The sequence below is a fragment of the Homo sapiens genome, chromosome 6 (assembly GCF_000001405.40).
Source record: "Homo sapiens chromosome 6, GRCh38.p14 Primary Assembly".
Classification (NCBI taxonomy): domain Eukaryota; kingdom Metazoa; phylum Chordata; class Mammalia; order Primates; family Hominidae; genus Homo; species Homo sapiens.
Window position 1 is genome coordinate 132,624,556 of NC_000006.12, and position 16,698 is coordinate 132,641,253.

The window sequence follows — 16,698 nt, forward strand, 5'->3', positions numbered from 1 at the left end:
CCTGGCTGAACCTCCCTTAGTAGTTCTTTCTTTTCTTTTTTAGAGACGAAGTCTTGTTCTTAAACCCAAGCTGCAATGCACAGGCATGATCACAGCTCACTACAGCCTTGAACTTCTGAGCTCAAGCGATCCTCCAGCCTCAGCCTCCCAAGTAGCTGGGACTATAGGTGCATGCCCCACCACGCCTGGCTAGTAGTTCTTGAAGAAGTGAAACAGGAGCAGCAACAAAAAAATCTCTTTTCATCTCAAAGCATATTCATAGTTATACTATGAATGAGATGAGATAAAATAATGATTTATATTATGAATGAGATAAGATAAGATCATGTATATGAAAGTATTTTAAAAGAAATCTTTATACCTATTAGCCAAAAGGGTAGAAATAGCAAAACACATTGCTACTCAAAAATTGCCAGCAACTTCTATTTCTTCTGGGAGAGACCAAAAATCATTTTGGACAAACTTTCTGGTTTCTGTAAAGAATTACTTAAGTGTTCTCTTTTAATTATGTAGGTGGGAGACGAGTAGCAGGGGAAGGTTAGAACTTAATGTGTATTTTTAACACGCAAAGGAACTTATGTGGAGCAAAGGGAATGAGACTTGTCAAACCCAGGAGTTCAAAACCAGCCTGGGCAACATAGTGAGACCTCATCTCTACAAAAAATTTTAAAAAATTAGCTCAGGACAGACCATGACAGATGGCAGGAGGAGAACCAGGGGTGAAAAGTTAAAATCAAAGCCTGGAGACAAACAATATACAGCTGAGCCTAAGAAAAGTCTTCAGAACCAGTGTCTCCAATCCTGAACACAAGATTTAAGAATAACAGCTCTGCAGTGATGCAAATGTAATGAGTACCAGCTCATTCCTCTTGGTTTTTTCTAAGCCCTTAGAAACCACAGCTTCCCCCCCATAACCTGGTGTCTCCATGTCATGGCAGTCGGAATGGCATCAACAGAAAGGGGGACCACCTATTTTCAACAGTGACACCTGCTAGCAGCCTGGGAAAACAGTCTTTGGATTCAGTCCTCAGAGAATATAACCAAAAGACAAGACCCTAAGGGAAATGGGAAAAATGCAGATTAATTTGAATATTACAAAGAGATATGATCTTATTTTGTACCTTAAGCTGAAGAAAAGGGGTATGTCACGAACATAAGTTCACATTTTTTAATGAAACTCAGGTACAAAGAATTTGAATTAATTACAATAATTATGCCAAGTATGTCTTGCTTGCCTTATTTGTTTGTTTCTAACAAAATGAACATACATGACTGAGAACTAGATTAACAATAGCTTACATACATCTCTATGGTATTTTCTGCCTATCACCTCAGGTAGCTACTCTCTTAAATTTTGTGCTTATCGTTTTTCTATTTATTTAATAGTTGTGCCATGTGTATTTATATAAGTAAATCAAAACATTGTTTGGCTTGTTTTTAGAACTCTTTATAAAATGGATAGCATGTTGTCTTTTGGAAAATGTTTTACTGTCTTTTGGAATTTGTTTTGCTCTTATTTTTTCATTTAACTGTATATGCATAGATCTAAAACTTTAAGCATAGATCTAAAACATAAGAATAAAGAAAATTTGGAAGTAAAAAGATTAAAAAAGCATATATCAGAAAAAGCATAAACCAAAGAAAGCATCCATACTCATACTAATATCAGAAAAGAAATATGTTGAGGCCAAAAACATGGCAAGTTAAAAGGATACATAGTAAAAAAGAGTTTCATTTACCAAGAAGATATATTTCTAGATTTAATAATAAAGTTTCCAAGTATTAGGGAAAAGTGACATCTACAAGAGAAAACAGACAAAACCTACAATCCTTGTGGGAGATGTTTTAATATACATCTAGCAAAATTAATAGAATAAATAGATTAGATATTAGTAAGTTTTTTTATTATTATACTTTAAGTTCTGGGATACATGTGCAGAATGTGCAGGTTTGTTACATAAGTATATACCTGCCATGGTGGTTTGCTGCACCCATCAACCCATCATCTACGTTAGGTATTTCTCCTAATGCTATCCCTCCCCTTGGCCACACCCCCCCACAGGCTCTGGTGTGTGACATTCCCCTCCGTGTATCCATGTGTTCTCATTGTTCAACTCCCACTTCTGAGTGAAAATGTTCAGTGTTTGTTTTTCTGTTTCTGTATTAGTTTGCTGAGAATGATGGTTTCCAGTTTCATCCATGCCCCTGCAAAGGACATGAACTCATTCTTTTTTATGGCTGCATAGTATTCCACGGTGTATATATGCCACATTTTCTTTATCCAGTCTATCATTGATGGGCATTTGGGTTGGTTCCAGGTCTTTGCTATTGTGAATAGTGCTGCAATAAACATATGTGTGTGTGTGTCTTTAGAGTAGAATGATTTATAATCTCTTGTGTATATATCCAGCAATGGAATTGCTGGGTCAAATGGTATTTCTAGTTCTAGATCCTTGAGGAATCGCCACAGTGTCTTCCACAATGGTTGAACTAATTTACACTCCCACCAACAGTGTAAAAGCATTCATATTTCTCCACATCCTCTCCAGCATCTGATGTTTCCTGACTTTTTAATGATTGTCATTCTAGCTGGCCTGAGATGGTATCTCATTTTGGTTTTGATTTGCACTTCTCTAATGACCAGTGATGATGAACTTTATTTCATATGTTTGTTGGCCGTATAAATGTCTGCTTTTGAGAAGTGTTTGTTCATAGTCCTTGCACACTTTTTGATGGGGTTGTTTTTTTCTTGTAAATTTGTTTAAGTTCCTCGTAGACTCTGGATATTAGCCCTTTGTCAGATGGATAGATTGCAAAATTTTTCTCCCATTCTGTAGGTTTCCTGTTCACTCTGATGATAGTTTCTTTTGCTGTGCAGAAGCTCCTTAGTTTAATTAGATCCCATTTGTCAATATTGGCTTTTGTTGCCATTGCTTTTGGTGTTTTAGTCATGAAGTCCTTGCTCATGCCTATGTCCTGAATGGTATTGCCCAGGTTTTCTTCTAGGGTTTTATGGTTTTACATTTTATTTTTAAGTATTTAATCCATTTTGAGTTACTTTATGTATAAGATGTAAGGAAGGGGTCCAGTTCCAGTTTTCTGCATATGGCTAGCCAGTTATCCCAACACCGCTTACTAAATAGGGAATCCTTTCCCCATTGCTTGTTTTTATTAGGTTTGTCAAAGATCAGATTATTGTAGATGTGTGGTGTTATTTCTGAGGACTCTGTTCTGTTCTATTAGTCTATGTATCTGTTTTGGTACCAGTACCATGCTGTTTTAGTTACTGTAGCCTTGGAGTATAGTTTGAAGTCAGGTAGCATGATGCCTCCAGCTTTGTTCCTTTTGCTTAAGATTGTCATGACTATACGGGCTCTTTTTTGGTTCCATATGAAATTTAAAATAGTTTTTTTCTAATTCTGTAAAGAAAGTCAATGTTAGCTTGATGGGAATAGCATTGAATCTATAAATTACTTTGGGAATACGGCCAATTTGACAATATTGATTCTTCCTATCCATGAGCATGGAATGTTTTTCCATTTGATTGTGTCTTCTTTTATTTCCTTGAGGAGTGGTTTGTAGTTCTCCTTGAAGAGGTCTTTCACATCCCTTGTAAGTTGTTTTCCTAGGTACTTTATTCTCTTTGTAGCAATTGTGAATGGGAGTTCACTCATGATTTGGCTGTTTGTCTGTTATTGGTGTATAGGAATGCTTGTGATTTTTGCACATTGATTTTGTATCCTGAGACTTTGCTGAAGTTGCTTATCAGCTTAAGGAGTTTTTGGACTGAGACTATGGGGTTTTCTAAATGTACAATCATGTCATCTGCAAACAGAGACAATTTGACTTCCTTTCTTCCTATTTGAATACCTTTATTTCTTTCTCTTGCCTGATTGCCCTGGCCCAAACTTCCAATACTATGTTGACTAGGAGTGGTGAGAGAGGGCATCCTTGTCTTGTGCTGGTTTTCAAAGGAAATGCTTCCAGTTTTTGCACATTCAGTATGATACCAGCTGTGGGTTTGTCATAAATAGCTCTTATTATTTTGAGATATGTTCCATCAGTACCTAGTTTCTTGAGTGTTCTTAGCATGAAGTGGTGCTGAATTTTATCAAAGTCCTTTTCTGCATCTATTGAGATAATCATGTGATTTTTGTCATAGGTTCTGTTTATGTGATGGATTAAGTTTATTGATTTGCATATGTTGAACCATCCTTGCATCCCAGGGATGAAGCCGACCTGATTGTAGTGGATAAGCTTTTTGATGGGCTGCTGGATTCGGTTTGCCAGTATTTTATTAAGGATTTTCACATCAATGTTCATCAGAGATATGGGCCTGAAATTTTCTTTTTTTGTTGTTTCTCTGCCGTGTTTCAATATCAGGATGATGCTGGCCTCATAAAATGAGTTAGGGAGGAGTCCTTCTTTTTTTATTGACTCATAAGGAATCGTACCAGCTCCTCTTTCTAACTCTGTTAGAATTCAGCTGTGAATCTGTCTGGACCTGGGCTTTTTTGGCTGGTAGGCTATTAATTACTGCCTCAATTTCAGAACTTGTTATTGGTCTACTCAGAGATTCAACTTCTTCCTGGTTTAGTTTTGGGAGGGTGTATGTGTCCAGGAATCTATTCATTTCTTCTAGATTTTCTAGTTTATTTGCATAGAGGTGTTTATAGTATTCTCTGATGGTAGTTTGTATTTTTGTGGGATCACTGGTGATATCCCCTTTATCATTTTTTATTGTTTCTATTTGATTCCTCTCTCTTTTCTTCTTTATTAGTCTGGCTAGCAGTCTATCTATTTTATTAATCTTTTCAAAAAACCACCTCCTGGATTCATTGATTTTTTGAAGGGCTCTTCATGTTTCTATCTCCTTCAGTTCTACTCTGATCTTAGTTATTTCTTGCTTTCTGCTAGCTTTTGAATTTGTTTTCTCTTGCTTCTCAAGTTCTTTTAATCGTGATGTTAGGGTGTTGATTTTAGATCTTAGAATGAACTAGAGGGGTGAAGACTTGAGGAATAAAAACCACTTTGGGAATTAATCCAGAGTCCCTAGAAGGGAAAGTTAAGACTTGCATGAAGATGCCTTGCCCATCCTTGACTGGTGGATGAGGAGTAAGGAGAAGGAGGAGTCAAGGATTACCCCCAGGTTTTCAGCTTGAGCAATTGCAAGGAGAGCGATTCAATAGAGAATGTGGGAAGAGAAGGGTGAGTAGTGAGATGATTTGGTTTAGTTCAGCACATGTAGAACGTTGGGCACGTACTGCAAAGGAGAAGACCAATTGATGGGAAATCACCAGTATATTTTATATGAGTTGGACAGACAAAGAAGGAAACTAGATGTCAATCAGAATATGATCACAACAGTAAGCTTCTGAGTTTCCTACAATATATCATATAATGATATAGGATGATGTATCCTGTGATCTGGGCTCAGAATTGGCAGTTAGGGATATAGGTTTTAATTCTATTTCTGTGCCTATGAACCAGGTACAATGGCGAAGTGAATTGTAAATAATAATTATAAATCAAATTTATTAATCATGTGCTATGAACTATATGCTGTACATTATTCAAATACATGACAAGTATCTCATTTCATTTAGCAAAGGTTATCATATGTGACTGAAAAAATAAGTGATAAAAATAATTTCCGTTTTTGGGAAAGAAAACTTCATTTAATTCCCATGGAAATTCCAGAGGGTTGGAGAACATAGTGGTCTTGTTCACATCTGAATCCTTAGCATCTAGCTAACACACCTATAGGCATATAATACATGCACAATAAATACTTGTTATAGGAATAAGTAAATAATTTAATTAATGAATACCTCTTCACAAGAACCCTGAAAGTTATGTATTATTTGAACCTTGAAAGTTATGTATTAAATATGAATGTAAATATTATTCATATTTCTATAGAAGTGAGAAAACTGATATTTAAAGAGGTTTAGTAAAATACTTTCTGTTGTGAAACATTGCTAGGCAGCCGGTCATCACAAGTGTTTGAAAACAAACTCAGGCCAATGTATTTCCAGGTATATCATAAGTAATGATTCTGGCTTCCTTTGTTTGTTGGTGGTAATAGGAGTGATGAAGAAAACAATTCAAGTGATTTAATTACCCAGGTAATGATTGCCATTTTGCGTTTTTTTTTTTTTTTTTAACGTAGAGCTAATCTGTGATCTGGCTGCTCATGTTCTAATGTAGCATTCTGGTAACTCCACCTCTAGTCTAATACGGTTGTAAAACACATTGTACTGTGGTGTTTCATTGTGTTTTGTTGTGTGTTTTATTTTATTGTTCCTAGTAATACAAACCATAGAAGGAAGACCAGGTGATGATCTGTGTGTTTTTACTTAATCTCAAAACTTTCTGTAACGTCCCACATTTAGGAGAAGACACAGACAAGATGAAAACTTTAAGCCATTTGGGCTTAGAGTTATCAACACATTTCAAGCATATAAGATTGAGATCACTGTTTACAAACTCTCTGGTTGTTAAAAGGAGTCTTGAGAGGATTGCTTATAGAAGTAATTAAATGTGTTGATTGGCTATCTACCAATGCCTACCTCAATTCATTTACAGTTTGACACTTTGAAGCTGTGATTTGGTAAACTTGAGTCCCCAGTCCAAAGAGACTCCTATAAACAGCATCTCTCTCACATTACTCTTATTTGCCAAACTTCAGAGTAAATAGAGACCAGAGGGCATCATTAACACATCTGCTCTTTGGCTTTGATGATGATGGGAAATAACTTCACACTAGAAGTCACTGGGGAAGTAGGTGTACTTAGTGGAGAGAGGAAAACATTTATCACCAAACTTTATATGAGGAAACAAATACCTGGGGAATTCTCAGACTATTAAGCAAAGGCCAAATGTAAACCTGAGAAAGAAAACTTTAGCTGATGCACGATAAGCAAGACAGTGACCTGTGCCTTAGTCTATATACTTATTTGATGTAAATGTTTATAGATTTGGCACATGAGCAAAGAGCAAGGAGTTTCTTATCTGGAAGATAACAGAAGTTTCAGGAAAACCATTCAACTAACATCACTCCTCAGCCCTGGTTGGCTGATACAGGAAACCCTTAATTAAATACTCATTTGGTTTGTCCCTTAATAAGTAATTTCAAAAATTAAAATTATAGATATACTGCATATATTGAATAAGGTAAGCTCCTCTGCCAGAAGAGGGAATAATACAGAATAAGGCCAACTTTTTTCTTAGTAGCAAGAATTTGCCTGTGTTTGGCTGTTGCCTTTATCACCAGTCTCTAGTGGATTGTGACTGTGGGTTGTTAGGAGTCCCTGTGCTTTTACTTTCCTTGATGGTTGGCACTGACCATAGTCTCCCTGGTCCTTCTCAAGCCCACTATAAGATCTTGTTGCCCCAAACACCTTTCTTGCCACTAGGGCAATTGAAAAGCTGAAATAGTGCATTCTGATATTTCATTAATAAACATTTTTAAAAAAAATTTGGGGGGACAAATGTAGGTTTATTCAATACTTTCTATTATCACTATATTTTCTAAATGAAAGGAGCATATTAATCTTGGAAATTCAGGAAGGACATAATCTTAGACAACAAACAGTCTATTAAATTGAATAAGTTTTCCGATATGAAAAGCTCACCACATTGTTTTGATTTTCTCACTTTACAATTACCTATAAAAAGTTTGTCACAACTAACACCAATCTTCATACTGAGAGGATTTGGGAATCCCTGACTTAGACGATCAAGGTACCATTAGTTTGAGAAAATATTAAAACACTGAAATCTCAAGAACTAACTTCAGAAATAAAGTTTTTCCTTGCTGGTTTAAAATTGTTGCATTCTAGTCAATATGTCTTTTTTCTCTCCCTTCCTTGACAAATGTTCATCAAGCAGCAACCCTGTACCAGGCTCTGTGGCAGGGACGGGGTATGAATGAGGCTGCCTACAGGAGCTCACAGCCGAGGCTTCTGAGTGAAGTGTTAAACATTGTAGTCTTCATAATTCCTCTAAAATTTTAACCTACTATATATACTGAAAAGCTTAGAATTCCTTTTTATTAAAGATCTAAATCAATGGTTCTTAGAACTGCATTCATTTCAAAGAAACCAAGTCATGTATTAAAATTGCAGATTTCTGAGTCTCAATCCCATCCTCCCAAATAATTTCAATGCAGTTAGGGATCCAACACAGGCCCAGGTAAAAGGCCATAAGTCAAATCTAGTTAATGGTTTCAGAATATACGTTTTAATAACTTTGCTTTTAAAATTGTATTATATTAATAAAGAATACACTTTTTTTGCCAAAATTAAACCCACATAGGCACATTCTCTTAAATTTAATTGGGGATAAAATTATGAATCCCTACAGTATTCTCACAGTTGACCCTACTTCCTGAGACAGGAAAGTGGGTAGAGTTTGTAGCCCGATATGGTTAGGTTTGTGTCCCCACGCAAATCTCATTTTAAATTGTTATTCCCCATAATTCCCATGTGTCAAGGGAAAGAATGGGTAGGAGGTCATTGGATCATGGTGGCTGTGTTCCCCATGCTGTTCTCGTGATGGTGAGTGTGTTCTCTTAAGATCTGATGGTTTTATAAGTGTCTGATAGTTCCTTCTACATACGCTCTTTCTCTTCTGCCACCTTGTGAAGAAGAATGTGTTTGCTTCCCCTTCCGCCATGATTATAACTTTCCCAAGCCTCCCCAACCATGTGGAATTGTGAGTCAATTATACCTCTTTTCTTTATGAATTACCCAGTCTTGGGTAGTTCTTTTTAGCCATGTGAAAATGGACTAACACATAGCCTGACAGACTTGGGCTCAAATCTTACCTCTAACATTTATTAATTGTGTCCCCTTGGACACCTTATTATTTATTATTTATCCAGCTAAAAAACATACAGTGAGTGACTTTCTCTGTGCCAAACATGATGCTAAGTACAGCAGTACTTAATAAATCACTGTCCCTAGCTTCTGCAATTCACTGTCCAGTGAGGGCAGAGGGCACCACAATCAATACATGCACTGACAGGGATGGGCGTGGGATATTTTGAGAGTTCAGAGAGACACTTACCTGGCCTGAGGGGATAACAGAATGCTTCCTGGAGAGTAATCCTCAAGATGAGCCTTTTCAGTTGAGTAGATGTCAGCCAGTTACAGCGAGGGACCTGGGGGAGGCATTTCAGGCATATAGGGCTGCAGGAGCAAAAACAGAAAGGACAGAAAGCATGGGAGCAACAAAGAGAACCGGGATTTTAACCCCGGCTGACGTGGTTCCAAAGCCTGAGCTTGTCTCCATATGCCAGGGTGATTCAGAGTGCTCTACACTAGTGTGCTTCAGAGATTACACAGAGTTCTCATGAAGCTTAATTACATTGGTGGATAATAGGTGTTTTGCAGATTGATATCAAAATATAAATTACTTTTATAGCTTTACAATTTATGTATTTATAGATTATGTGCTATATAATTATATATACATATACCAATAATTTCTTATATAAATTATCTTATGTGTATATATACATGCTATATAAAATTTTTTCAAAATAAAATCCCCCCAGTTTCTCAAATAACTGACATATCACAGATTATGCACAAATGTGCCACCAGGTTACTTCCTTTTGCATAAAGCTTGAAATAGATCTTCTTCTGCTATCCTTTTTTGCATAATTATAATTGTAAAATTTGTTAGGAAGGAGGATACTGGGATTCCACACTAGTTTTTGTTTTTTAAAGAACTGACATGTAATGTCTGTGTATGTTAACATCTCTGTGTGCAGTACCATAGCATATGCTGAGTAAACACCACTATAGCATACACCAATAAAATGACAGAGAATACCACTAATAATATATGTTCACCAAGGGATTTTACATGTTAAGATCCATGCTAGGCGATAACTTCTCATCTAGTAATCAACAATCTACTGAAGGAGGTGAGATCATTGCCCTCACTTTATAGCTGAGTAAATGAAGGTTTTGCATTTTTAAATAACTTTGTCCAAATAATAGCTGATAAATATTGGAGTCAGAAATGCAGACCCATGGCGTCTAGCTCCCAAGCCTGCCCTTCTCACCACAGATCATCTTCGATAATGAGGGCTTGAATATTTTCATTAATTAAAATCTCCCTAGGAGCAGCCTGGCTTGAAAAATACTACTTTACCACATCACATTGTTAAAACATTGATCAAAAAACAAATTTTAGAGTTTGGCATCTCTGTGATTTCTTATCTGACTTGTACATTTATTAAGAGGGATACCGAGGGATTCCTGGACAAGATGGCCAAATAGGAACAGCTCCAGTCTGAAGCTCCCAGTGAGACCAATGCAGAAGGCTGATGATTTCTGCATTTCTAACTGAGGTAACTGGTTCATCTCACTGGGAATGGTTAGAGAGTGGGTGCAGCCCACGGGGTGAGCAGAAGCAGTGTGGGGGCATTGCCTCACCCGGGAAGTGCAAGGGGTTAGGGAACTCCCTCCCCTAGCCAAGGAAAGTCTTGAGGGAATGTGCCATGAGGGACAGAGCTATCCAGCTCAGATACGACACTTTTTTCACAGTCTTCACAACCCACAGACCAGGAGATTCCCTTGGGTACCTACACCACAAGGTCCCAGGGTTTCAAGCACAAAACTGGGTGGCCATTTGGGCAGACACCGAGCTAGCTGCAGAAGTTTTTTTCATATCCCAGTGGCACCTGGAATGCCAGCAAGACAGAACCATTCACTCCCATGGAAAAGGGGATAAAGCCAGGGAGTCAAGTGGTCTTGCTCAGAGGGTCCCTCTCCCATGGAGCCCAGCAAGCTAAGATCCACTGGCTTGAAATTCTCACTGGCAGCACAGCAGTCTGCAGTCAACCTGGGACACTCGAGCTTGGTGTTGGGAGGGGCGTCCACCGTTACTGAGGCTTGAGTAGGCTGTTTTCCCCTCACAGTGTAAACAATGCCTCCTGGAAGTTTGGACTGAGCACAGCCCACTGCAGCACAGAAAAGTAGCTGTAGCCAGACTGCCTCTCTAGATTCCTCCTCTATGGGCAGGACATCTCTGAAAGAAAGGCAGCAGCCTCAGTCAGGGCCTTATAGATAAAACTCCCATCTCCCTGGGACAGAGCACCTGGGGGAAGGGGCAGCTGTGGGAGCAGCTTCAGCAGACTTAAATGTTCCTGCCTGCCAGCTCTGAAGAGAGCAGCTTATCTCCAAGCACAGTGCTCAAGCTCTGCTAAGGGACAGACGGCCTCCTCAAGTGGGTCCCTGACCCCCATGCCTCCTGTCTGGGAGACTCCTCCCAGAAGGAGTTGAGAGACACGTCATACAGGAGAGCTCCAGCTGACATCTGGCAAGTGCCCCTGTGAGACAAACCTTCCAGAGGAAGGAGCAGGCAGCAATTTTTGCTGTTCTGCAGCCTTGGCTGGTGATACCCAGGCAAACAGGGTCTGGAGTGGACCCCCAGCAAACTCCAGCAGATCAGCAGTAGAGGTGCCTGACTCTTAGAATGAAAAACAGAAAGCAATAGCATCAACATCAACAAAAAGGATGACCATGCAAAAACTCCATCCAAAGGTCACCAACAGCAAAGACCAAAGGTAAATAAATCCATGAAGATGAGGAAAAGCCGGTGCAAAAAGGCTGAACATTTCAAAAACCAGAATGCTCTTCTCTTCCGAAGGATCACAACTCCTTACCAGCAAGGGAACATAACTGGACAAAGAATGAGTTTGACGAACTGACAGAAGTAGGCTTCAGAAGGTGGGTAATAACAAACTCCTCTGAGCTAAAGGAGCATGTTTTAACCCAATGCAAGGAAGCTAAGAGCCTTGATAAAAGGTTAGAGGAATTGCTAACTAGAATAACCAATTTAGAGAAGAACATAAATAACCTGATGGAGCTGAAAAGCACAGCATGAGAACTTCGTGAAGCATACACAAGTATCAATAGCCGAATCGATCAAGCAGAAGAAAGGATATCAGAGATTGAAGATCAACTTAATGATATAAAGTGTAAAAACAAGATTAGAGAAAAAGAATGAAAAGGAATGAATAAAGCTCCCAAGAAATATGGGACTATGTGAAAAGACCAAACCTACATTTGATTGGTGTACCTGAAAGTGACAGGGAGAATGGAACCAAGTTGGAAAACACACTTCAGGATATTATGCAGGAGAACTTCCCCAACCTAGCAAGACAGGCCAACATTCAAATTCAGGAAATACAGAGAACACCACAAAGGTTCTCCTCGAGAAGAGCAACCCCAAGTCACATACTCATCAGATTCACCAAGATTGAAATGAAGGAAAAAATGTTAAGGGCAGGCAGAGAGAAAGCTTGGGTTACCCCCAAAAGGAAGCCTGTCAGACTAACAGTGGATCTCTCTGAGAAAACCTACAAGCCAGAAGAGAGTGGGGTCAATATTCAACATTCTTAAAGAAAAGAATTTTCAACCCAGAATTTCATATCCAGCCAAAGTAAGCTTCATAAGTGAAGGAGAAATAAAATCCTTTACAGACAAGCAAATGCTGAGGGATTTTGTCCCATCAGGCCTTCCTTACAAGAGCTCCTGAAGGAAGAACTAAATATGGAAAGGAAAAATGGGTACCAGCCACTGCAAAAACAAACCAAAATGTAAAGACCATTGACATTATGAGGAAACTCCATCAACTAATGTGCAAAATAACCAGCTAGCATCATAATGACAGGATGAAATTCAAACATAACAATATTAACCTTAAATGTAAATGGGCTAAATGCCCCAATTAAAAGGCACAGAGTGGCTAACTGGATAAAGAGTCAAGACCCATCGGTATGCTGTATTCAGGAGACCCATCTCACATGCAAAGACACACATAGGCTCAAAATAAAGTCATTGAAGAAGACTTACCAAGCAAATGAAAAGCAAAAAAAGGTAGGAATTGCAATTCTAGTCTCTGATGAAACAGACTTTAAATGAACAAAGATCAAAAGAGACAAAGAAGGGCATTACCTTATGGTAAAGGAGTCAATACAACAAGAAGAGCTACCTATCCTAAATATATGTGCACCCAATACAGGAGCATCCAGATTCAAAAAGCAAGTTCTTAGAGACCTACAAAGAAACTTAGACTCCCACACAATAATAGTGGGAGACTCTAACACCCCACTGTCAATATTAGACACACATCAACAAGACAGAAAATTACCAAGGATATTCAGGACTTGAACTCAGCTCTGGACCAAGCAGACCTAATAGACATCTACAGAACTCTCCACCCCAAATCAACAGAATATACATTCTTCTCAGCACCACATAGCACTTATTCTAAAATCAACCACATAATTTGAAGTAAAACACTCCTCAGCAAATGCAAAGGAACGGAAATCAAAACAAACAGTCTCTCAGACCACAGTGCAATGAAATTAGAACTCAGGATTAAGAAACTCACTCAAAACCACACAACTATATGGAAACTGAACAACCTTCTCCTTGAAAGACTACTGGGTAAATAACAAAATTAAGGCAGAAATAAATAAGTTATTTGAAACCAATGAGAACAAAGACACAACGTACTAGAATCTCTGGGACACAACTAAAGCAGTGTTTAGAGGGAAATTTAAAGCACTAAATGCCCACAAGAGAAAGCAAGAAAGATCTAAAATCGACACCCTAACATCACAATTAAAAGAACTAGAGAAGCAAGAGTAAACAAATTCAAAAGCTAGCAGAAGAGGAGAAATAACTAAGATTAGAACAGAAGTGAAGGAGATAGAGACAAAAATCCTTCAAAAAATCAATGCACCCAGGAGTTGGTTTTTTGAAAAGATTAACAAAATAGACCGCTAGCCAGACTAATAAAGAAGAAAAGAGATAATAATCAAATAGACACAATAAAAAATGATAAGGGGGATATCACCACTGATCCCACAGAAATACAAGCTACCATCAGAGAATACTATAAACAACCCTACACACACACACACACACACACACACACACACACACAAATCTAGAAAATCTAGAAGAAATGGATAAATTCCTGGACATATACACTCTCCCAAGAGTAAACCGGGAAGAAGTTGAATCCCTGAATAGACCAATAACAAGTTCTGAAACTGAGGGAGTAATTAATAGCCTACCAACCAAAACAAACAAACAAACAAAAAGCCCAGGACCAGATGGATTCACAGCCGAATTTTACCAGAGGTACAAAGAGTAGCTGGTATGATTCCTTCTGAAACTATTCCAAATAATAGAAAAAGATGGATTCCTCTCTAACTCATTTTATGAAGCCAGCATCATCCTGATACCAAAACATGCCAGAGACGCAACAAGAAAAAGAAAATTTCAGGCCAATATCCCTGATGAACATTGATGCAAAAATCCTCAACAAAATACTGCCAAACCGAATCCAGCAGCATATCAAAAAGCTTATCCACCGCAATCAAGTCAGCTTTGTCCCTTGGGTACAAGGCTATTTCAACATACACAAATCAATAAATGTAATCCATCACATAAACAGAAACAATGACAGAAACCACATGATTATCTCAATAGATGCAGAAAAGGCCTTCAATAAAATTAAACACCCTTCATGCTAAAAACACTCAATAAACTAAGTATTGATGGAACATATCTCAAAATAATAAGAGCTATTTATGACAAACCCACAACCAATATCATACTGAATGGACAAAAGCTGGAAGCATTCCCTTTGAAAACCGGCACAAGACAAGGATGCACTCTCTCAACTCTCCTATTCTACGTAGTATAGGAAGTTCTGACCAGGGCAATTAGGCAAGACAAAGAGATAAAGGTATTCAAATAGGAAGACAGGAAGTCAGATTGTCTCTGTTTGCAGGTGACATGAATGTATATTTAGAAAACCACATCGGCTCAGCCCAAAAACTCCTTAAGCTGATAAGCAACTTCAGCAGTCTCAGGATACAAAATCAATGTGCAAAAATCACAAGGATTCCTATACAACAATAATAGACAGAGACCCAAATCATGAGTGAACTCCCATTCACAATTGCTACAAAGAGAATAAAATACCTAGGAATACAGCTTACAGGGGATGTGAAAGACCTCTTCAAGAACTACAAACCACTGCTCAATGAAATAAGAGAGGACACAAACAAATGGAAAAACATTCCATGCTCATGGAAAGGAAGAATCAATATCATGAAAACGGCCATACTGCCCAAAGTAATATATAGATTTAATGCTATTCCCGTCAAGCTATCATTGACTTTCTTTACAGAATTAGAAAAAAACTACTTTAAATTTCATGTGGAACCAAAAAAGAGTGTGTATAGCCAAGACAATCCTAAGCAAAAAGAACAAAGCTGGAGGCATCATGCTACCTGACTTTGAACATGCTGCAAGGCTACAGAAACCAAAACAGCATGGTACTGGTACCAAAACAGGTATATAGACCAATAGAACAGAACAGAGAACTCAGAATTAACACCACACATCTATAACCATCTGATCTTTGACAAATCAAACAAAAGCAAGCAATGGGGAAAGGATTCCCTATTTAATAAATGGTGTTAGAAAACTGGCTAGCCATATATAGAGAACTAAAACTGGACCTCTTCCTTACACCTTATACAAAAATTAACTCAAGATGGATTAAAGATTTAAAGTAAGATCTAAAACCATAAAAACCCTAGAAGAAAACCTAGGCAATACCATTCAGGACATAGGCATGGACAAAGACTTTATGACTAAAACACCAAAAGCAATGGCAACAAAAGCCAACATTGATAAATGGGATCTAATCAAACTAAAGAGCTTCTGCAGAGCAAAAGAAACTATCATCAGAGTGAACAGGCAACCTACAGAATGGGAGAAAAATTTTGCAGTCTATCCATCTGACAAAGGACTAATATCCAGAATCTACAAGGAACTTACAACAAATTTCCAAGAAAAAAAAAACCCATCAAAAAGTGGGCAAAGGATATGAACAGACACTTCTGAAAAGAAGACATTTATGCAGCCAACAAACATATGAAAAAAAGCTCATCATCACTGGTCATCAGAGAAATGCAAATCAAAACCACAATGAGATACCATCTCACACCAGTTAGAATGGCAATCATTAATAAGTCAGGAAACAACAGATGCTGGAGAGGATGTGGAGTAATAGGAATGCTTTTACACTGTTGGTGAGAGTGTAAATTAGTTCAACCATTGTGGAAGACAGTGTGGCGATTCCTCAAGGATCCAGAACTAGAAATACCATTTGACCCAGCAATCCCATTACTGGTTATATACCCAAAGGATTATAAATCATGCTACTATAAAGTCACTTGCACATGTATGTTTATTGCAGCACTATTCACAATAGCAAAGACTTGGAACCAACCCAAATGCCCATCAATGTTAGACTGGATAAAGAAAACATGGCACATGTACACCATGGAATACTGTGCAGCCATAAAAAAGAATGATTTCATGTCTTTTGCAGGGACATGGATGAAGCTGGAAGCCATGATTCTCAGCAAACTAATACAGGAACAGAAAACCAAACAGCGCATGTTCTCATTCATAAGTGTGAGTTGAACAATGAGAACATATGGGCACAGGGAGGGGGAACATCACACACCGAGGCCTGTCAGTGGGTAGGGGGCAAGAAGAGGGATAGCATTAGGAGAAATACCTAATGTAGATGATGGGTTGATGGGTGTGGCAAACCACTATGGCCCATGTATACCTACGTAAC